We start from the raw sequence: 17,923 nt of genomic DNA, 5'->3' as shown, positions 1-17,923 counted from the left end.
GGCCACCACTTTAGTCATGGCACTCAGGCAAGTGGACTTTGAAGGCTCTGAAACACGGAAAGGCTGGGCAAATCAAATGCCTACTAGGGCTTGCTTCCAGTGTGGTCTACAAGGACACTTTAAAAAAGGTTGTCCAAATAGAAATCAGGTGCTCTGATTTTTAGATTTTCTGGTTTTTCTGCTCTGTTTTTTCCCCATCTTTGTGGTTTTACCTACATTTGGTCTTTGATGATGGAGACGTACAGATGGGTTTTTGGTATGGATGTCCTTTCTGTTTGTTAGTTTTCCTTCTAACAGTCAGGACCCTCAGCTGCAGGTCTGTTGGAGTTTACTGGAGGTCCACTCCAGACCCTGTTTGCCTGGGTATCAGCAGTGGTCACTGCAGAACAGCGGATATTGGTGAACCGCAAATGCTGCTGCCTGATCATTCCTCTGGAAGTTTTGTCTCAGAGGAGTACCCGGCTGTGTGAGGTGTCAGTCCGCCCCTATTGGGGGGTGCCTCCCAGTTAGGCTACTCGGGAGTCAGGGACCCAATTGAGGAGGCAGTCTGCCCGTTCTCAGATCTCAAGCTGTGTGCTGGGAGAACCACTACTCTCTTCAAAGCTGTCAGAGAGGGACATTTAAGTCTGCAGAGGTTATTGCTGTCTTTTGTTTGTCTGTGCCCTGCCCCCAGAGGTGGAGCCTACAGAGGCAGGCAGGCCTCCTTGAGCTGTGGTGAGCTCCACCCATTTCAAGCTTCCCAGCTGCTTTGTTTACCTACTCAAGCCTGAGCAATGGCGGGCGCCCATCCCCCAGCCTTGCTGCCGCCTTTCAGTTTGATCTCAGACTGCTGTGCTAGCAATGAGTGAGGCTCCATGGGCGTAGGACCCTCCAAACCAGGTGTGGGATATAATCTCCTGGTGTGCCATTTGTTAAGTCCGTTGGAAAAGCGCACTGTTAGGGTGGGAGTGACCCGATTTTCCAGATGCCGTCTGTCACCTTTTTCTTTGACTAGGAAAGGGAATTTCCTGACCCCTTGCACTTCCCGGGTGAGGTGATGCCTTGCCCTGCTTCGGCTTATGCACGGTGTGCTGCACCCACTGTCCTGCACCCACAGTCCAGCACTCCCCAGTGAGATGAACCCAGTACCTCAGTTGGAAATGCAGAAATCACCCGTTTTCTGCGTCGCTGATGCTGGGAGCTGTAGATTGGAGCTGTTCCTATTCGGCCATCTTGGCTCCACCCCTCTCTTGTAGGGTTTTTATGGTTTCAGGTCTAACATTTAAATCTTTAATCCATCTTGAATTAATTTTCGTATCAGGTGTAAGGAAGGGATCCAGTTTCAGCTTTCTACTTATGGCTAGCCAGTTTTCCCAGCACCATTTATTACATAGGGAATCCTTTCCCATTTCTTGTTTTTGTCAGGTTTGTCAAAGATCAGATGGTTGTAGATGTGTGGTGTTATTTCTGAGGCCTCTGTTCTGTTCCATTGGTCTATATATCTGTTTTGGTACCAGTACCATGCTGTTTTGGTTACTGTAGCCTTGTAGTATAGTTTGAAGTCAGGTAGCATGATGCCTCCAGCCTTGTTCTTTTTGCTTAGGATTGTCATGGCAATACAGGCTCTTTTTTGGGTTCCATATGAACTTTAAAGCAGTTTTTTCCAATTCTCTGAAGAAAGTCATTGGTAGCTTGATGGGTATGGCATTGAATCTATAAATTACCTTGGGCAGTATGGCCATTTTCTTTTTTTTTTTTTTGAGAAATCTTTTTTATTTCAGAGTAATTAGAGGTTGGCAGGAAGTTGCACAAAATGTATAGGAAGGTTCTGTTCATGCACCGTGCATCTCTCCTCATGTATAATTCTAGTACATTATTATTTTTTTTATTGATTTCTAATTTATTTATTTATTTATTTTTCTTTTCTTTTTTTATTTTATTTTATTTTATTTATTTATTTATTTATTTTTATTGATCATTCTTGGGTGTTTCTCGCAGAGGGGGATTTGGCAGGGTCATAGGACAATAGTGGAGGGAAGGTCAGCAGATAAACAAGTGAACAAAGGTCTCTGGTTTTCCTAGGCAGAGGACCCTGCGGCCTTCCGCAGTGTTTGTGTCCCTGGGTACTTGAGATTTGGGAGTGGTGATGACTCTTTTTTTTTTTTATTTATTTTTTTTTTTTATTTTTTCTTTTTTTAATCATACTTTAAGTTTTAGGGTACATGTGCACATTGTGCAGGTTAGTTACATATGTATACATGTGCCATACTGGTGCGCTGCACCCACTAACGTGTCATCTAGCATTAGGTATATCTCCCAATGCTATCCCTCCCCGCTCCCCCGACCCCACCACAGTCCCCAGAGTGTGATATTCCCCTTCCTGTGTCCATGTGATCTCATTGTTCAATTCCCACCTATGAGTGAGAATATGCAGTGTTTGGTTTTTTGTTCTTGTGATAGTTTACTGAGAATGATGGTTTCCAATTTCATCCATGTCCCTACAAAGGACATGAACTCATCATTTTTTATGGCTGCATAGTATTCCATGGTGTATATTGCCACATTTTCTTAATCCAGTCTATCATTGTTGGACATTTGGGTTGGTTCCAAGTCTTTGCTATTGTGAATAGTGCCGCAATAAACATACATGTGCATGTGTCTTTATAGCAGCATGATTTATAGTCATTTGGGTATATACCCAGTAATGGGATGGCTGGGTCAAATGGTATTTCTAGTTCTAGATCCCTGAGGAATCGCCACACTGACTTCCACAATGGTTGAACTAGTTTACAGTCCCACCAACAGTGTAAAAGTGTTCCTATTTCTCCACATCCTCTCCAGCACCTGTTGTTTCCTGACTTTTTAATGATTGCCATTCTAACTGGTGTGAGATGATATCTCATAGTGGTTTTGATTTGCATGCTGCCTTCAAGCATCTGTTTAACAAAGCACATCTTGCACGGCCCTTAATCCATTTAACCCTGAGTGGACACAGCACATGTTTCAGAGAGCACAGGGTTGGGGGTAAGGTCACAGATCAACAGGATAAGAATTTTTCTTAGTACAGAACAAAATGAAAAGTCTCCCATGTCTACCTCTTTCTACACAGACATGGCAACCATCCGATTTCTCAATCTTTTCCCCACCTTTCCCCACTTTCCATTCCACAAAACCGCCATTGTCATCATGGCCCGTTCCCAATGAGCTGTTGGGTACACCTCCCAGACGGGGTGGTGGCCGGGCAGAGGGGCTCCTCACTTCCCAGTAGGGGCGGCCAGGCAGAGGCACCCCTCACCTCCCAGATGGGGCGGCTGGCCGGGCGGGGGGCTGACCCCCCCACCTCCCTCCCAGACGGGGCGGCTGGCTGGGCGGGGGGCTGACCCCCCCACCTCCCTCCCGGACGGGGCGGCTGGCCGGGCGGGGGGCTGACCCCCCCACCTCCCTCCTGGACGGGGCGGCTGGCCTGGCGGGGGCTGACCCCCACCTCCCTCCCGGTCGGGGTGGCTGCCAGGCGGAGACGCTCCTCACTTCCCAGACAGGGTGGCTGCCAGGCGGAGGGGCTCCTCACTTCTCAGACAGGGTGGCTGCCAGGCGGAGGGGCTCCTCACTTCTCAGACGGGGCGGTTGCCAGGCGGAGGGTCTCCTCACTTCTCAGACGGGGCGGCCGGGCAGAGACGCTCCTCACCTCCCAGACGGGGTTGCGGCCGGGTAGAGGCGCTCCTCACATCCCAGACGGGGCGGCAGGGCAGAGGCGCTCCCCACATCTCAGACGATGGGCGGCCGGGCAGAGACGCTCCTCACTTCCTAGATGGGATGGCGGCCGGGAAGAGGGGCTCCTCACTTCCTAGATGGGATGGCGGCTGGGCAGAGACGCTCCTCACTTTCCAGACTGGGCAGCCAGGCAGAGGGGCTCCTCACGTCCCAGACTATGGGCGGCCAGGCAGAGACGCTCCTCACTTCCCAGATGGGGTGGTGGCCGGGCAGAGGCTGCAATCTCAGCACTTTGGGAGGCCAAGGCAGGCGGCTGGGAGGTGGAGGTTGTAGCGAGCCGAGATCACGCCACTGCACTCCAGCCTGGGCACCATTGAGCACTGAGTGAACTAGACTCCGTCTGCAATCCCGGCACCTTGGGAGGCCGAGGCTGGCGGATCACTCGCGGTTAGGAGCTGGAGACCAGCCCGGCCAACACAGTGAAACCCCGTCTCCACCAAAAAAATACAAAAACCAGTCAGGCGTGGCGGCGCGCGCCTGCAATCGCAGGCACTGGGCAGGCTGAGGCAGGAGAATCAGGCAGGGAGGTTGCAGTGAGCCGAGATGGCAGCAGTACAGTCCAGCTTCCGCTCGGCATCAGAGGGAGACAGTGGAAAGAGAGGGAGAGGGAGACCGTGGGGAGAGGGAGACGGAGAGGGAGAGGGAGAGGGAGAGCTGGCCATTTTCATGATATTGATTTTTCATATCCATGACCATGGAATGTTCTTCCTTTGTTTGTGTCCTCTTTTATTTCATTGAGCAGTGGTTTGTTGTTCTTCTTGAAGAAGTCCTTCACATCCCTTGTAAGTTGGATTCCTAGGTATTTTATTCTCTTTGAAGTAATTGTAAATGGGAGTTTACTCATGATTGGGCTCTCTGTTTGCCTGCTATTGGCGTATAGGAATGCTTGAGATTTTTGCACATTGATTTTGTATCCTGAGACTTTCCTGAAGTTGCTTATCAGTTTAAGGACGTTTTGGGCTGACGATGGGGTTTTCTAAATATACAATCATGTCATCTGCAAACAGGGACAATTTGACTTCCTCTTTTCCTAATTGGATGCCCTTTATTTCTTCCTCTTGCCTGATTGCCCTGGCCAGAACTTCCAACACTATGTTGAATAGGAGAGGTGAGAGAGGGCATCCTGTCTTGTACCAGTTTTCAAAGGGAAGGCTTCCAGTTTTTGCCCATTCAGTATGATATTGGCTGTGGATTTGTCATAAATCGCTCTTATTATTTTGAGATATGTTTCATCAATACCTAGTTTGTTGGGAGTTTTTAGCATGAAGTGCTGTTGAATTTTGTCAAAGGCCTTTTCTGCATCTATTGAGATAATCATGTGGTTTTTGTCATTGGTTCTGTTTATGTGATGGATTATGTGTATTGATTTGTGTATGTTGAACCAGCCTTGCATCCCAGGGATGAAGCCAGCTTGATCATGGTGGATAAGCTTTTTGATGTGCTGCTGGATTTGGTTTGCCAGTATTTTATTGAGGATTTTTGCATCGATATTCATCAGGGATATTGGTCTAAAATTCTCTTTTTTGTTGTTGTGTCTCTGCCAGGCTTTGGTATCAGGATGATGCTGGCCTCATAAAATGAGTTAGGGAGGATTACTTCTTTTTCTATTCATTGGAATAATTTCAGAAGGGATGGTACCAGCTCCTCTTTGTACCTCTAGTAGAATTGGGCTGTGAATCCATCTGGTCCAGGACTTTTTTTGGTTGATAGGCTATTAATTATTGCCTCAATTTCAGAGCCTGTTATTGGTCTATTCAGAGATTCCACTTCTTTCTGGTTTAGTCTTGGGAGGGTGTATGTGTCCAGGAATTTATCCATTTCTTCTAGATTTTCTGGTTTATTTGTATAGAGGTATTTATAGTATTCTCTGATGGTAGTTTGTATTTCTGTGGGATCAGTGGTGAAATCCCCTTTATCATTTTTTATTGTGTCTATTTGATTCTTCTCTCTTTTCTTCTTTATTAGTCTTGCTAGTGGTCTATCCATTTTTTTTGACCTTTTCAAAAAACCAGCTCCTGGATTCATTGATTTTTTGAAGGGTTTTCTGTGTCTCTATCTCCTTCAGTTCTGCTCTTAGTTATTTCTTGCCTTCTGTTAGCTTTTGAATTTGTTTGTTCTCGCTTCTCTAGTTCTTTTCATTGTGATGTTAGGGTGTCGATTTCTTGTCTTTCCTGCTTTCTCTTGTGGGCATTTAGTGCTATAAATTTCCTTCTACACACTGCTGTAAATGTGTCCCAGAGATTCTGGTACATTGTGTCTTTGTTCTCATTGGTTTCAAAGAACATCTTTATTTCTGCCTTCATTTCGTTATGTACCCAGTAGTGATTCAGAAGCAGGTTGTTTAGTTTCCATGTCGTTGTGTGGTTTTGAGTGAGTTTCTTAGTCCTGAGTTCTAATTTGATTGCAGTGTGGTCTGAGAGACAGTTTGTTGTGATTTCTGTTCTTTTACATTTGGTGAGGAGTGCTTTACTTCCAACTATGTGGTCAATTTTGGAATAAGTGTGATGTGGTGCTGAGAAGAATGTATATTCTGTTGATTTGGGGTGGAGAGTTCTGTAGATGTCTATTAGGTCCGCTTGGTGCAGAGCTGAGTTCAAGTCCTGGATATCCTTTTTAACCTTCTGTCTCATTGATCTGTCTAATATTGACAGTGGAGTGTTAAAATCTCCCATTATTATTGGGGAGTCTAAGTCTCTTTGTAGGTTTCTAAGGACTTGCTTTATGAATCTGGGTGCTCCTGTATTGGGTACATATATATTTAGGATAGTTAGCTCTTCTTGTTGAATTGATCCCTTTACTGTTATGTAATGGCCTTCTTTGTCTCTTTTGATCTTTGGTGGTTTAAAATCTGTGTTATCAGAGAGTAGGATTGCAATCCCTGCTTTTTTTTTCTTTTTTTGCTTTCTATTTGCTTGGTGGATCTTCCTCCATCCCTTTATTTTGAGCCTATGTGTGTCTCTGCATGTGAGATGGGTTTCCTGAATACAGCACACTGATGGGTCTTGATTCTTTATCTAATTTGCCAGTCTGTGTCTTTTAATTGGGGCATTTAGCCCTTTTACATTTAAGGTTAATATTGTTATGTGTGAATTTGATCCTGTCATTATGATGTTAGCTGGTTATTTTGCTCGTTAGTTGATGCAGTTTCTTCCTAGCATCAATGGTCTTTACAATTTGGCATGTTTTTGCAGTGGCTGGTACTGGTTGTTTCTTTCCATGTTTAGTGCTTCCTTCAGGAGCTCTTGTAAGGCAGGCCTGGCGGTGACAAAATCTCTCAGCATTAGTTTGTCTGTAAAGAATTTTATTTCTCCTTCACTTATGAAGCTTAGTTTGGCTGGATATGAAATTCTGAGTTGAAAATTCTTTTCTCTAAGAATGTTGAACATTGGCCCCCACTCTCTTCTGGCTTGTAGAGTTTCTGCTGAGAGATCCACTGTTAGTTTGATGGGCTTCCCTTTGTAGGTAACCTGACCTTTCTCTCTGGCTGCCCTTAACATTTTTTCCTTCATTTCAACCTTCGTGAATATGACAATTATATGTCTTAGGGTTCCTCTTCTTGAAGAGTATCTTTGTGGTGTTCTCTGTATTTCCCAAATTTGAATGTTGGCCTGCCTTGCTAGATTGGGGAAGTTCTCCTGGATAATAACCTGAAGAGTATTTTCCAACTTGGTTTCATTCTGCCCGTCACTTTCAGGTACAGCAGTCAAACGTAGGTTTGGTTTTTTCACATAGTTCCATATTTCTTGGAGGCTTTGTTCACTTCTTTTTCTCTTTTTTCTCCAAACTTCTCTTCTCACTTTATTTCATTAATTTGATCTCCAATCACTGATATTCTTTCTTCCACTTGAGCAAATTGGCTATTGAAGCTTATGCATGCATCCTGTAGTTCTCATGCCATGGTTTTCGGCTCCATCAGGTCATTTAAGGACTTATCTACACTGTTTATTCTAGTTAGCCATTCATCTAATCTTTTTTTCAAGACTGTTAGCTTCCTTGTGATGGGTTCCAACATCCTCCTTTAGCTCAGAGAATTTTGTTACTCTGACCTTCTGAAGCCTACTTCTGTCAACTCATCAAAGTCATTCTTCATCCAGCTTTTTTCTGTTGCTGGCAAGGAGCTGTGATCCTTTGGAGGAGAAGAGGCACTCTGGTTTTTTGAATTTTCAGATTTTCTGCTCTGGTATCTCCCCATCTTTGTGGTTTTATCTACCTTTGGTGTTTGATGTTGGCGACCTACAGATGGGGTTTTGGTGTGGATGTCCTTTTTGTTGATTTTGAGCTATTTCTTTCTGTTTGTTAGTTTTCCTTCAAACAGTTTCCTCAGCTGCAGGTCTGTTGGAGTTTGCTGGAGGTCCACTCCAGTCCCTGTTTGCCTGGGTATCACCAGCAGAGGCTGCAGAACAGCAAATATTGCAGAACAGCAAATATTGTTGCCTGATCCTTCCTCTGGAAACTTCGTCCCAGAGGGGCACCCACCTGTATGAGATGTCAGTCGGCCCCTACTGGGAGGTGTCTCCCAGTTAGTCTACACAGGGTTCAGGGACCCATTTGAGAAGGCAGTCTGTCTGTTCTAAGAGCTCAAACACCATGCTGGGAGAACCACTGCTCTCTTCAGTGCTGTCAGACAGGGATGTTTAAGTCTGCAGAGGTTTCTGCTGCCTTTTGTTCAGTTATGCACTGCTCCCAGAGGTGGAGTCTATAGAGGCAGAAAGCCTTGCCTTGCTGCAGTGGGCTTCGCCCAGTTTGAGCTGCCCAGCTGCTTTGCTTTCCTACTCAAGCCTCAGCAATGGTGAGCAACCCTCCTCCTGCCAGGCTGCTGCCTTGCAGGTTGATCTCAGACTACTGCACTAGCAGTGAGCAAAGCTCTGTGGGAATGGGACCCACCAAACCAGGCACAGGATATAATCTCCTGGTGTGCCATTTGCTAAGACCATTGGAAAAGTGCAGTATTTGAGCAGGAGTGTCTTGTTTTTCCAGGTACAGTCTGTCACGGCTTCCCTTGTCTAGGAAAGGGAAATCCCCTGACCTCTTACACTTCCTGGGTAAGGCAATGCCCTGCCTTGCTTCGGCTCACCCTCTGTGGGCTGCACGCACTGTCCAACCAGTCCCAGTGAGATGAACCAGGTACCTCAGCTGGAAATGCAGAAATCACCCATTTTCTGCATCAGTCACACTGGGAGCTGCAGACCGGAGCTGTTCCTATTTGCCCATCCTCTCCCTGCTTTCTTTACCTCTGAGGTTGGATTCTCCCTGTGGGATCCTGCAATCCTTCTGCCCCAAAAAACTATTATAGCAGGAGGGAACCTGTTCCTGCTCACTCTTTGCCTTCTCCTTCTCATCCTAGACAGCCTGACCGTGCCCTAGTTTTCAGAGGAGTGATTGATTCTGGGGTGCGGAGCAGGATGAGGAAACTCAGGCTCAGAGAGGGATTTCCACCTAATGTGCCTGGAAACCATGGGTAGCTACCCAATAAGGCCTTTCTATGTTCAGAAGGTCATGGACCAGGAGTGTTGGTATCGGAGCTTTGTAGAGACAGTTTTGACCCCTGTACTTAGAGCAGAGGGGTGTGTTTGCCATGGAGAGTGTGTGTGGGCAGCTGTGTGTAAGCCTGTGTGAGTTCTGTGTATGTTCCTGTGTGAATATATGTGTGTGCTCCTTCATGGACACAGCATGCATGTAGTGGGCATAGCAAGGCAGAGAGAAATCAGGAGACTAGGGGCACATTGCCCAGTAGGAAGATAGTATCTTCCTACTGGGCAGGACTTGAGGTGTGCAAAGGTGTGCATGAGTACTGCAAAAGCAGTTCAAAGAGCAGAGAGGTGGGGCCAGAATAAATATGTTGCAGAAAGGCAGTCATCAGGGAGGAAAGTGAGGATTCCCTGCCAAAATGCCTGAGGGCTTCCCTGCCTACCACAGCCCTCTGTGTTCTTAAATCCTCCTGTCTGAACAGAGGCCAGACTCTGGTTTCCCCCACAGCCTGTCTGTGTCTGTCCTCTGCAAAGCCATGTGGCTCTACCTGGCGGTTTTCGTGGGCCTGTACTACCTTCTGCACTGGTACCGGGAGAGGCAGGTGCTGAGCCACCTGAGAGATAAGTATGTGTTCATCACGGGCTGTGACTCTGGCTTCGGGAAACTGCTGGCCAGACAGCTGGATGCACGAGGCTTGCGGGTGCTGGCTGCATGTCTGACGGAGAAAGGAGCCGAGCAGCTGAGGGGCCAGACTTCAGACAGGCTGGAGACGGTGACCCTGGATGTTACCAAGACAGAGAGCGTTGCTGCAGCCGCCCAGTGGGTGAAGGAGTGCGTGAGAGACAAAGGTAACCACCCAGGTTTGTCAAGTCTGTCTGTGTCTTCCCTCTGTGTGAAGGGACCACCTCCTGTCTGCTCCCTGGGAAGATTCCTACAGTGTCTTTCCAGGTTGAAGTAACAGTAGCTTTCTAATATTTCTCACTTAACAGGCTGCCTGAACCCCATCTCTTTTCAATCCTTAACCTCTCCCGACATTGGAGGTGTCTAGTCTTGGGGAGAGTTTGCCCTGATGAGATTTTCTCTCCAGAATTCCTCTCTATCCTCTCCCTCCTGTCTAAGCAGAAGTCATGTGTTGTTTGATGCTAAGAGCCTGGGTTAGAGATCTGGAGACTTGCTGGAGCATCGTTGAGAAGGGAGCACAGGGCTGCAAGTGTGCACGGAGGCTGTGCCTGTGCTGGAGCCAGGCTTATGTTCCCAGCACTTTACCTTGTTTTTGCTAGGGCCCATCAGCGTCCACTGAGAGCTACGATCATCTCCATCTTCAGAGGAGAGTATCAGCTTAAGGACTGCTTAAGGAAGGCAGAACTAGTAAGGGGTTACTTTTTCTTTCTTTCTTCTTTTCACTACACTAATTCATCTGTCTTATTATAGAGGAAGAAAGAAACATGGATTTATTTTATGTAACAATAAATCAGAATATGATCTTTGTGGAAAACACTGAAAAGAATAAAGATGAAAACAAGTTTCCCTGAAATTGTCATCCACACATAAGTCCTTTTTACAATTATACAAAATTAGGATTTTATATTTTGTTCTTAGTTTCAGTCACCTTAAATTCTCTGGAGAAGATGAACACTTTTCCACCATAATGACTGTTTTTATAAAATTATATTTAATTATTTAGAATACTGTATCCTTCCAATAGCCTTACCTATGTAATCCATACTGAGTGGTTGGATATGAAATTCCTTCCTGCTTTTTATTCATCATAAATGTCATCTTGGTGGACTTTTATTTGCCAACGTCTCTGTAAGTGTGAGTATTGATTGGATTCTTAAAAATGAGATGTCTGGGTGGAGGAATCTGCATTTGCATCAGGGCAGGGCCTGTTATTGAGCAGGGGACAGGTTCATATGCCTGGGCCAACCCTTCCAGATCAACAACTGCCACCCCCTGCCTGGACTCAAGGGACCCTGTGCTCCTGCCCCCTAGCTCTGTGGGTTGAAAACTCTATTGACTTGAAGTCCTGGGGATTGTGTATTTGCATCTTCCAGAGAGATTTTCCCAGAGCTGGGTGAACTTGGGACTAAAGGGAAGGATGAAGAGTGGGCTTCTGATGCAGTAGGAGGAGAGGGTGACATTTTCTGGGGCAGAGGGTGGAGTCTGTGTACTGAGTGGGGTGACGCAACCTTGCTTTCTTCCCAAAGCCTGTGCATTGGAATTCCCCTGTGCTTTCTATAAAAATGTTACTGATGCAGGATGTTTCAAGACCAGTGCCCTGAGTTCAAACACTTGGGAAACAGGATGTTTCCCAAGTTCCCCCAAGCCTAGGATTTCAGGTCTGTCTCTTTCTCTCTTTCCTGTCTCCCTCACTCTCCCTCTTTCTTGTCTCTTATTCCATCAACAGATAGTTGCTGGACAATCACTATATAAGGTGTTAGCACACCTGAAAATGCAGCTGTATGTCTGTAATGTCTGCAACATTCATGTTTAACTAACCAAACATTGGTCTTCATGTTTCCAGACTAATGCATGGACAATAGTTCTTTAACATGATTTCATGCAGTCCTTAAATAGGGGTAATAGCTTATTGTCTTTCAGGCAGTAGGCTGGTCCATGAAGAGTAAATGGAGAAAGACCTGGGTTTTGTGGCCCACCAGCTGCTGAATGCTCAGCCCCCACCCCTGTGATACTGTGGTGTTTGTTATACCCTCCTCCCCATCCCACACCTGTCAGTCTGCCCTCACTTTATTGGGATGTGATTTGCACCCTAACTCTGTCCACCTGCACAGGCACAACACAGTGATGCTCTCTCATCTTCCCACTGTCCCAGGACTCTGGGGCCTGGTGAATAATGCTGGCATCTCCTTGCCCACGGCTCCCAATGAGTTGCTCACCAAGCAGGACTTCGTGACCATACTGGACGTGAACTTGTTGGGGGTGATTGATGTGACTCTGAGCCTGCTGCCCTTAGTGAGGAGGGCCAGGGGCCGTGTGGTCAACGTCTCCAGTGTCATGGGCCGGGTGTCACTTTTTGGTGGAGGCTACTGCATCTCCAAGTATGGCGTGGAAGCCTTCTCTGACTCCCTCAGGTATGGGTCTGGGATGGGGCCCACCCTAGTCTTCCTGCTCCTGTCCTTGTGGGGAAGTCTTTTCCAGGGAGTTCCTTGAATCCCAGCCTGTAAGTTCCTTTCATGAGATCACTCTCTGTCTTCATGTGTGACACCCTCATCTTCCTCTTTCTGGATTGGGCTGGCCATTCACTGGGAAGCACCTTCCTGAGTGCTGGGCGACAGGAGGGGCCCCAGGTCAGAGAGTTTCTTGAACGATACCTCTTCCCTGGATGGATCTCTTGGTCAGAAACTGCCAGAGGCAGAATTGGACCTGGATCTTTGGCTTCAGATCCTACCAAGAGGAACACAGTACTGAGGTTACCAAGCCCAGGACAGGGGAACACTGTGTATCAATGACTAATCCCAGGGAAGGACCCTAAACACTTCTTCCCATTGCACCTTGGTATTGGAGCCACAAAGGCAGACCAGGCAGTCAGTGCTGGATGGAAGAATGCTTTGCACCCTAGAGAAGGAGCAGAGAAAGATCAGCTACAGCAGTGTGTGTTGGTCCCCTAGCCAGGGAGGCTCTCCCAGCAGCTGACACTGGGCATGTGGCTTGCTAACACCCCTCTCTTGCTGTAGTAGAAGGACCCCAACCCCTCCTCCCAGGAATCTGAAATACTTGTAAACCTGGGGCATGCCTTAGGGCCGCGGACACACACAAGCTCATGCAGACGCAAGAGCACTCACTGAGTCAGAAACAGGGAAAGATATTTCCACACCAGGAGATGGGTGCCTGGCTCTGGGGCTCTTCCTCTCTAGGGAGAGAAATGCTTCAAGCCCTGAGGCCATTCCTTCATGGCTCTCTGGGGCCCAAAGACAGCATGCAGGAGATGGTCTTTCCCAGCAGAATTCATATCCAGAGCCCCTTTGACGATGGGTAGAGCATCTGAGTCCACACAACAGACACTTTAGGCCCTTGTCCAAGTGGCCAAAAATCCATCCTTAACAACAAGGTTTTGTCTGTGACTTAAAACTTGATACCTGGGAGAGGGACAAGAGATATAGAATCAAGTGCCAATGCTTATAAGGTTGGTGACCAAGTCAACCTTGCTGGCCATGGTACCCACCTGAGTTGAGGAGAGTCCTGGAGATTCCATCTGAGCTGGGGATTGAAAACTCAAGCTGGGGATTGAGAACTCCACCTGGCAGCCTGGTAAGGAAGACTGGGAAAGGCTCCTAGATGAAGGAATGCCATCAGCCCAGGCCCAGAGTGAGCATTAGCCACCTGCATGTACTGCAGAATCCTCTTGTGGTGAAGGTCAAGGCCAAGCCTGGTGGGGGATGCTGGGCAGGTGGTCATAGGTGGGCTCCTTGAGGGCCTGTGGGCCCTGGACAGGAGTTGTGGCTTATGCTGTTGGCAGTGGAACCCCCTCCAGAAAAGGGATTTGCTCAGGGGAGCTCCTTGGTCCAGTCAGCTTCTAGACTCCCACTGACTGCAGGAAGCCCAGTGGTTGTAAGTGTGGGGAGCCAGACTGAAGACAGATGCTTCTTAGAGGACAGCTGCCATCACCCAGCTCAGAGGCCAGGGAGATTCCTGGGGCAGGAAAACGAGGGAGGGGACTGAGGACTGGAGAGGAGGCAAAATGTGGGAATTCTGGTGATCCACTGGATGTGAGGGACATAGGAGGAGACAGCACTAAGGTGCTGCCTTGCTTTGGAATTGGTAGGATTTAGGGCTAGTAAGCTCAGGTGTGTAAAATATGGAAACTCCATACAGAGGGAATGCCACCATGATAATTATGACCCCTTGATTGCTGGAAATTAAATATTCCAAGCTTTCTATTTTACCCATTGTCCTCATATGTTGTGATATCATAGTTTTACTTTTATTGTTTGTGTTTTACCTTCCAAGACCCCCGAAGTTTTTCCCCTCTGCTTCTCTGTCTTGCAGGAGGGAACTCTCCTACTTTGGGGTGAAGGTGGCTATGATTGAACCTGGCTATTTCAAGACTGCTGTGACCAGTAAGGAGAGATTCTTAAAGAGCTTCCTGGAGATTTGGGACCGGTCCAGTCCAGAGGTCAAGGAGGCCTATGGCGAGAAGTTTGTTGCAGACTGTGAGTAAGCTGTGGACAGTGGGGAGAGAAGCAAACCCTCGTGTGGAATCCTTGGTCTACCATTGGTGTCTGAAGGGCATTAGAGTTTGATCCCCAGGCTCTCCCTTCCCCACAGAGTGGAGACCTTTAGCCCCATTTCCATGATGGGTGCTGTGTGGTCAACTGGTCATGAAAAGCAAGTGTCCAGGCTTCTCAGAACTTGGGACCAGTGTCTATCTGAACCCATCGTTACTGAGGAACAAAGGGAAGCCAGAAAGGGAAGACATTGGTGGCTGATCACAAGCTGGCATTAGAGACAGCTTGTTTTTATGTGCTGAGACTTCTACTGTGGGTGGAGACCATCATTTATGCAGTCCAGATATTCCCAAAGAGAGACAGACATGACTTAGTGTGAGACACTTGCTACTTTCACATGGATGGGCTCCAGCTCAGGGAATTTGGATAAAAGAGATTTGAGGCATTGCTTGACTGGGGGTTGTGGGGTGGCATGAGTTCTTAGACCCTTTCCACTCTAAGTTGAATCCAAAGCAGGAGCGGTTAGAGGTGGAAATATACATGGATTGTTTCTGATTCTTAACAGATAAGAAATCAGCTGAACAAATGGAGCAGAAGTGCACACAGGATCTGTCGTTGGTGACCAACTGCATGGAGCATGCGCTGATTGCCTGCCACCCCCGTACTCGCTACTCAGCTGGCTGGGATGCCAAGCTTCTCTACCTCCCCATGAGCTACATGCCCACCTTCCTGGTGGATGCCATTATGTACTGGGTCTCTCCAAGCCCGGCCAAGGCTCTATGAAGCTAAGGTTGGATGCATGGTTGCATGGATTTGGGGTGTGCTATGAGGGGTGGTGTATCCTTGGGAGAGATATAAAGTGGAGGGAGGGAGCCGTCCGGTCAGTAGGGCACCAATCCCACCTCCTTCATTACCTCCTGGCCATGATTCTCCTGGGAGATAATTCTGCTCTCTGGAGATGTTGGTAGGAAAGTTTCAAGTTACGCAGCTGAGAAACAGGGACCAAATAGTGCTCCTGGGTGCATTGTCACCGTGGGTGGCCACTCAAGGGTCCAAGCCTCTAGGGCCATCCTTGGGCTAACAACTGGGGTGGGTGTGAGCAGGTGGAAGGAGCCTCAGCCCATGCCATTACCTCCTGCTTCCTTATCAGGCTGTGTGTTAATTCTGGGCCAGTCTACACCCTCCCACGGGGTGGAAATGGCCTGGAGGATGTGAGGGCACCCCTCCTCTGAAGATCCCTGTACACGTGGTGTTGGGACTGGAACCATTATGCGGCCCCATAGGCCTCAGGAGTCATCCCAGAAGCAGTGGCTGGGAGGTGGTGTCCTAAGTAAGGATCTGTGCAGAGGACAAATAAATCAGTTTTTGATTTGTCTTGAAAGCATGGACTTCCTTTGACTCTTTTGATGTTGAAAAAGTTGATAGTTTCACCCATGTGCAGTGATTTGAATGTTCTTGTGAAGCTCCACTTGGATTCCAGACACATGAGATTGCAATCCCTCTCTGAGTCTGGGTTCCCACCTTTGCTCAGCACCCAGAGTCACTCCATCCAGAAAGTCAGGTCACTGTCAGCCTCCCTAGGACTAGAAGTCAAAGGCAGAAAAGAGTGAACAGGAATAGATCTCCTCCTAATATTGAATTTTCTGCTAGAAGGAGAACAAGATCCCAATGGGGAAGTCTGATCTTAGAGGCAAAGAAAGGGGAAAAAGGAAAATGGGGATGGGAACTCCCAAGCTGCTGGGAGGGAGTAATGGAGTGACTTACACAAGAGGGTGTCAAGAGTTTTTACACTTTCACTCCTGAAGATGTCCTTTCCCTAGATTTGGGTGGCCTTGGGGAGCAGTGGCAGGAAGAGGCAGGTACCTTCCTGAATATCAGGGGATGAGAGGCATGGCCTGAGAATGGATTTGAAGAGAGAAGTTGGACTATCCCTGCCCTCTCCCAGCCCTTGTTGCCACCAAGGTGAGGGGCAATTGTTTTCTTTCCAGGGGGTTCTGGAGTAGCCTGTGGTCACAGAAATAGACCCAAGGACAAGACAGCAAGGCGACCTCAACAGCCATATTGACAGGCAGGCCTCAGATCCCTTCCCTGGGGCAACTGAAGCCTCCTCCCCTCACCCGTGCCCTCTCTGTGTCCCTTAGTGACGGACCCTCACTTTAAAGTCATTGCACTTTCCCTGTGTCATCCCTCAGGTCCCCCACCATATCCCAACACACCCACCCCTCCAGTGACAGGGAGTGAGAGTCACTGCTGGACTCATCTTTCATATTTTCTCTCCCTTTGTTGAGCCCCTGCTGTGTACTGGAGAGAAATTCCCTTGAATGACCTGGTCCTCATCCTCAATGTCTTCAGTTTTCTGATGATGTCGCAAGTGTGGACTCAACACAGAAAGCATTAGGGGAAAGGGGTGTAGAATCCTGGACTCAACACAAATTGTAGTTGGGAGGTAACTCCCCAGGATTCTCATTTTTCTTTCTTCAGGATAAAAGTCTAGGTCTAGGATATGGAGCCTTTAGGAAGCCCCATGTTGTTTAACAAATCAGTATTTATTGTAGAAACAGAGATTGAGGTCAGATGTTGCAGGGCCACTGAATTTAAAACACGCAATGAGGCATGGTGACTCATGCCCGTAATCCTAGCACTTTGGTAGGCTGAGGTGGGTTGATTACCTGAGCTCAGGAGTTAGGGACCAGCCTGGGCAATATGGTGAAACCCGGTCTCTATTAAAAATACAAAAAATTAGCTGGGTGTGTTGGTGTATGCCTGTGTTACAGCTACTTGGGAGGCTGAGGTAAGTGGATCACTTGAGCCTGGGAGACGAAGGTTGCAGTGAGCTGAGATTGTGCAACTGCACTCCAACCTGGGTGATAGAGTGAGACCCCCATCTCAAAAAAAAAAAAACAAAATAAAACAAACAAGCAAATGAAACACACACAGTGAGGAGCAGGTGGAGATAAATGGCAGAGTAGAAGGCTTCACGGATCATTCTCTCTTCCCCACCCCACACCAAGACACCAAGTTAACAATTGTCTCCGTATCAAAAAACACCTTCATAAGAACCAATAATCAGGTGATGATAACTCTTTAACCTGGTTTTAACCTCATATTGCTGAAAGAGGCACTGAAGAGATAGAAAAAAACAGTCGTGAATCACAGACCCTACCGCTCTCCAAACCCTGGCAGTGGAGGCACAGTGCTGAGAGCATCTCTGGGTGCTGCGGGAGGGAGAACACAGCAATTGTGAGGCACTGAACTCAGTGCTATCCTGTTAGAGCAGGAAGAAAAACCAGACCAAAGTCAGCTGATGCCCATCCATGGAGGGAGCATTTAAACCAGCCCTAGCTACAGGGGAATCACCGATCCCAGCAGTCCTGAGTGCCCACAAACCTCGATACCAAGGGCTACAATGCTCCATGTCTCCAAATAAACTTACATGGCAGTCTAGGCCATAAGAACTGCAACTCATAGGTGAGGCCTAGTGCCACAGGGGAGTCTCTGATCACAGCAAACCTAACTTG

At 47.6% G+C, this 17,923-nt stretch overlaps 1 protein-coding gene across 2 annotated transcripts, besides 2 other annotated features; it reads left to right on the top strand.

Moving 5' to 3' along the window:
* Window positions 8,889-9,137: an origin of replication, noted in NCBI's record as "promotes replication of a plasmid". NCBI's record gives the evidence for it as "EXISTENCE:genetic transformation evidence [ECO:0005027][PMID:16954389]".
* Window positions 8,960-9,088: an origin of replication, noted in NCBI's record as "peak of nascent strand synthesis determined by PCR amplification of labelled nascent strands". NCBI's record gives the evidence for it as "EXISTENCE:nucleotide analog incorporation evidence [ECO:0001107][PMID:16954389]".
* On the top strand, window positions 9,609-15,786 carry RDH16 (retinol dehydrogenase 16). 2 transcript variants are annotated; one of them, NM_003708.5, is made up of 4 exons: window positions 9,609-10,067; window positions 12,053-12,311; window positions 14,227-14,390; window positions 14,971-15,786. In NM_003708.5, the coding sequence occupies exons 1-4, from the start codon at window positions 9,755-9,757 to the stop codon at window positions 15,186-15,188; spliced, it is 954 nt and encodes a 317-aa protein (NP_003699.3). In that variant the 5' UTR covers window positions 9,609-9,754; the 3' UTR covers window positions 15,189-15,786. The 2 variants fall into 2 exon arrangements, with proteins under 2 accessions (NP_003699.3, NP_001307037.1); NM_001320108.2 differs by lacking the exon at window positions 12,053-12,311.
* Window positions 15,787-17,923: the final 2,137 nt, after the last annotated feature.

The sequence above is a fragment of the Homo sapiens genome, chromosome 12 (genome assembly GCF_000001405.40).
Source record: "Homo sapiens chromosome 12, GRCh38.p14 Primary Assembly".
Taxonomy (NCBI): domain Eukaryota; kingdom Metazoa; phylum Chordata; class Mammalia; order Primates; family Hominidae; genus Homo; species Homo sapiens.
Note: the sequence above shows the minus strand (reverse complement) of the source record. Positions and strands in the feature narration are given on the sequence as shown.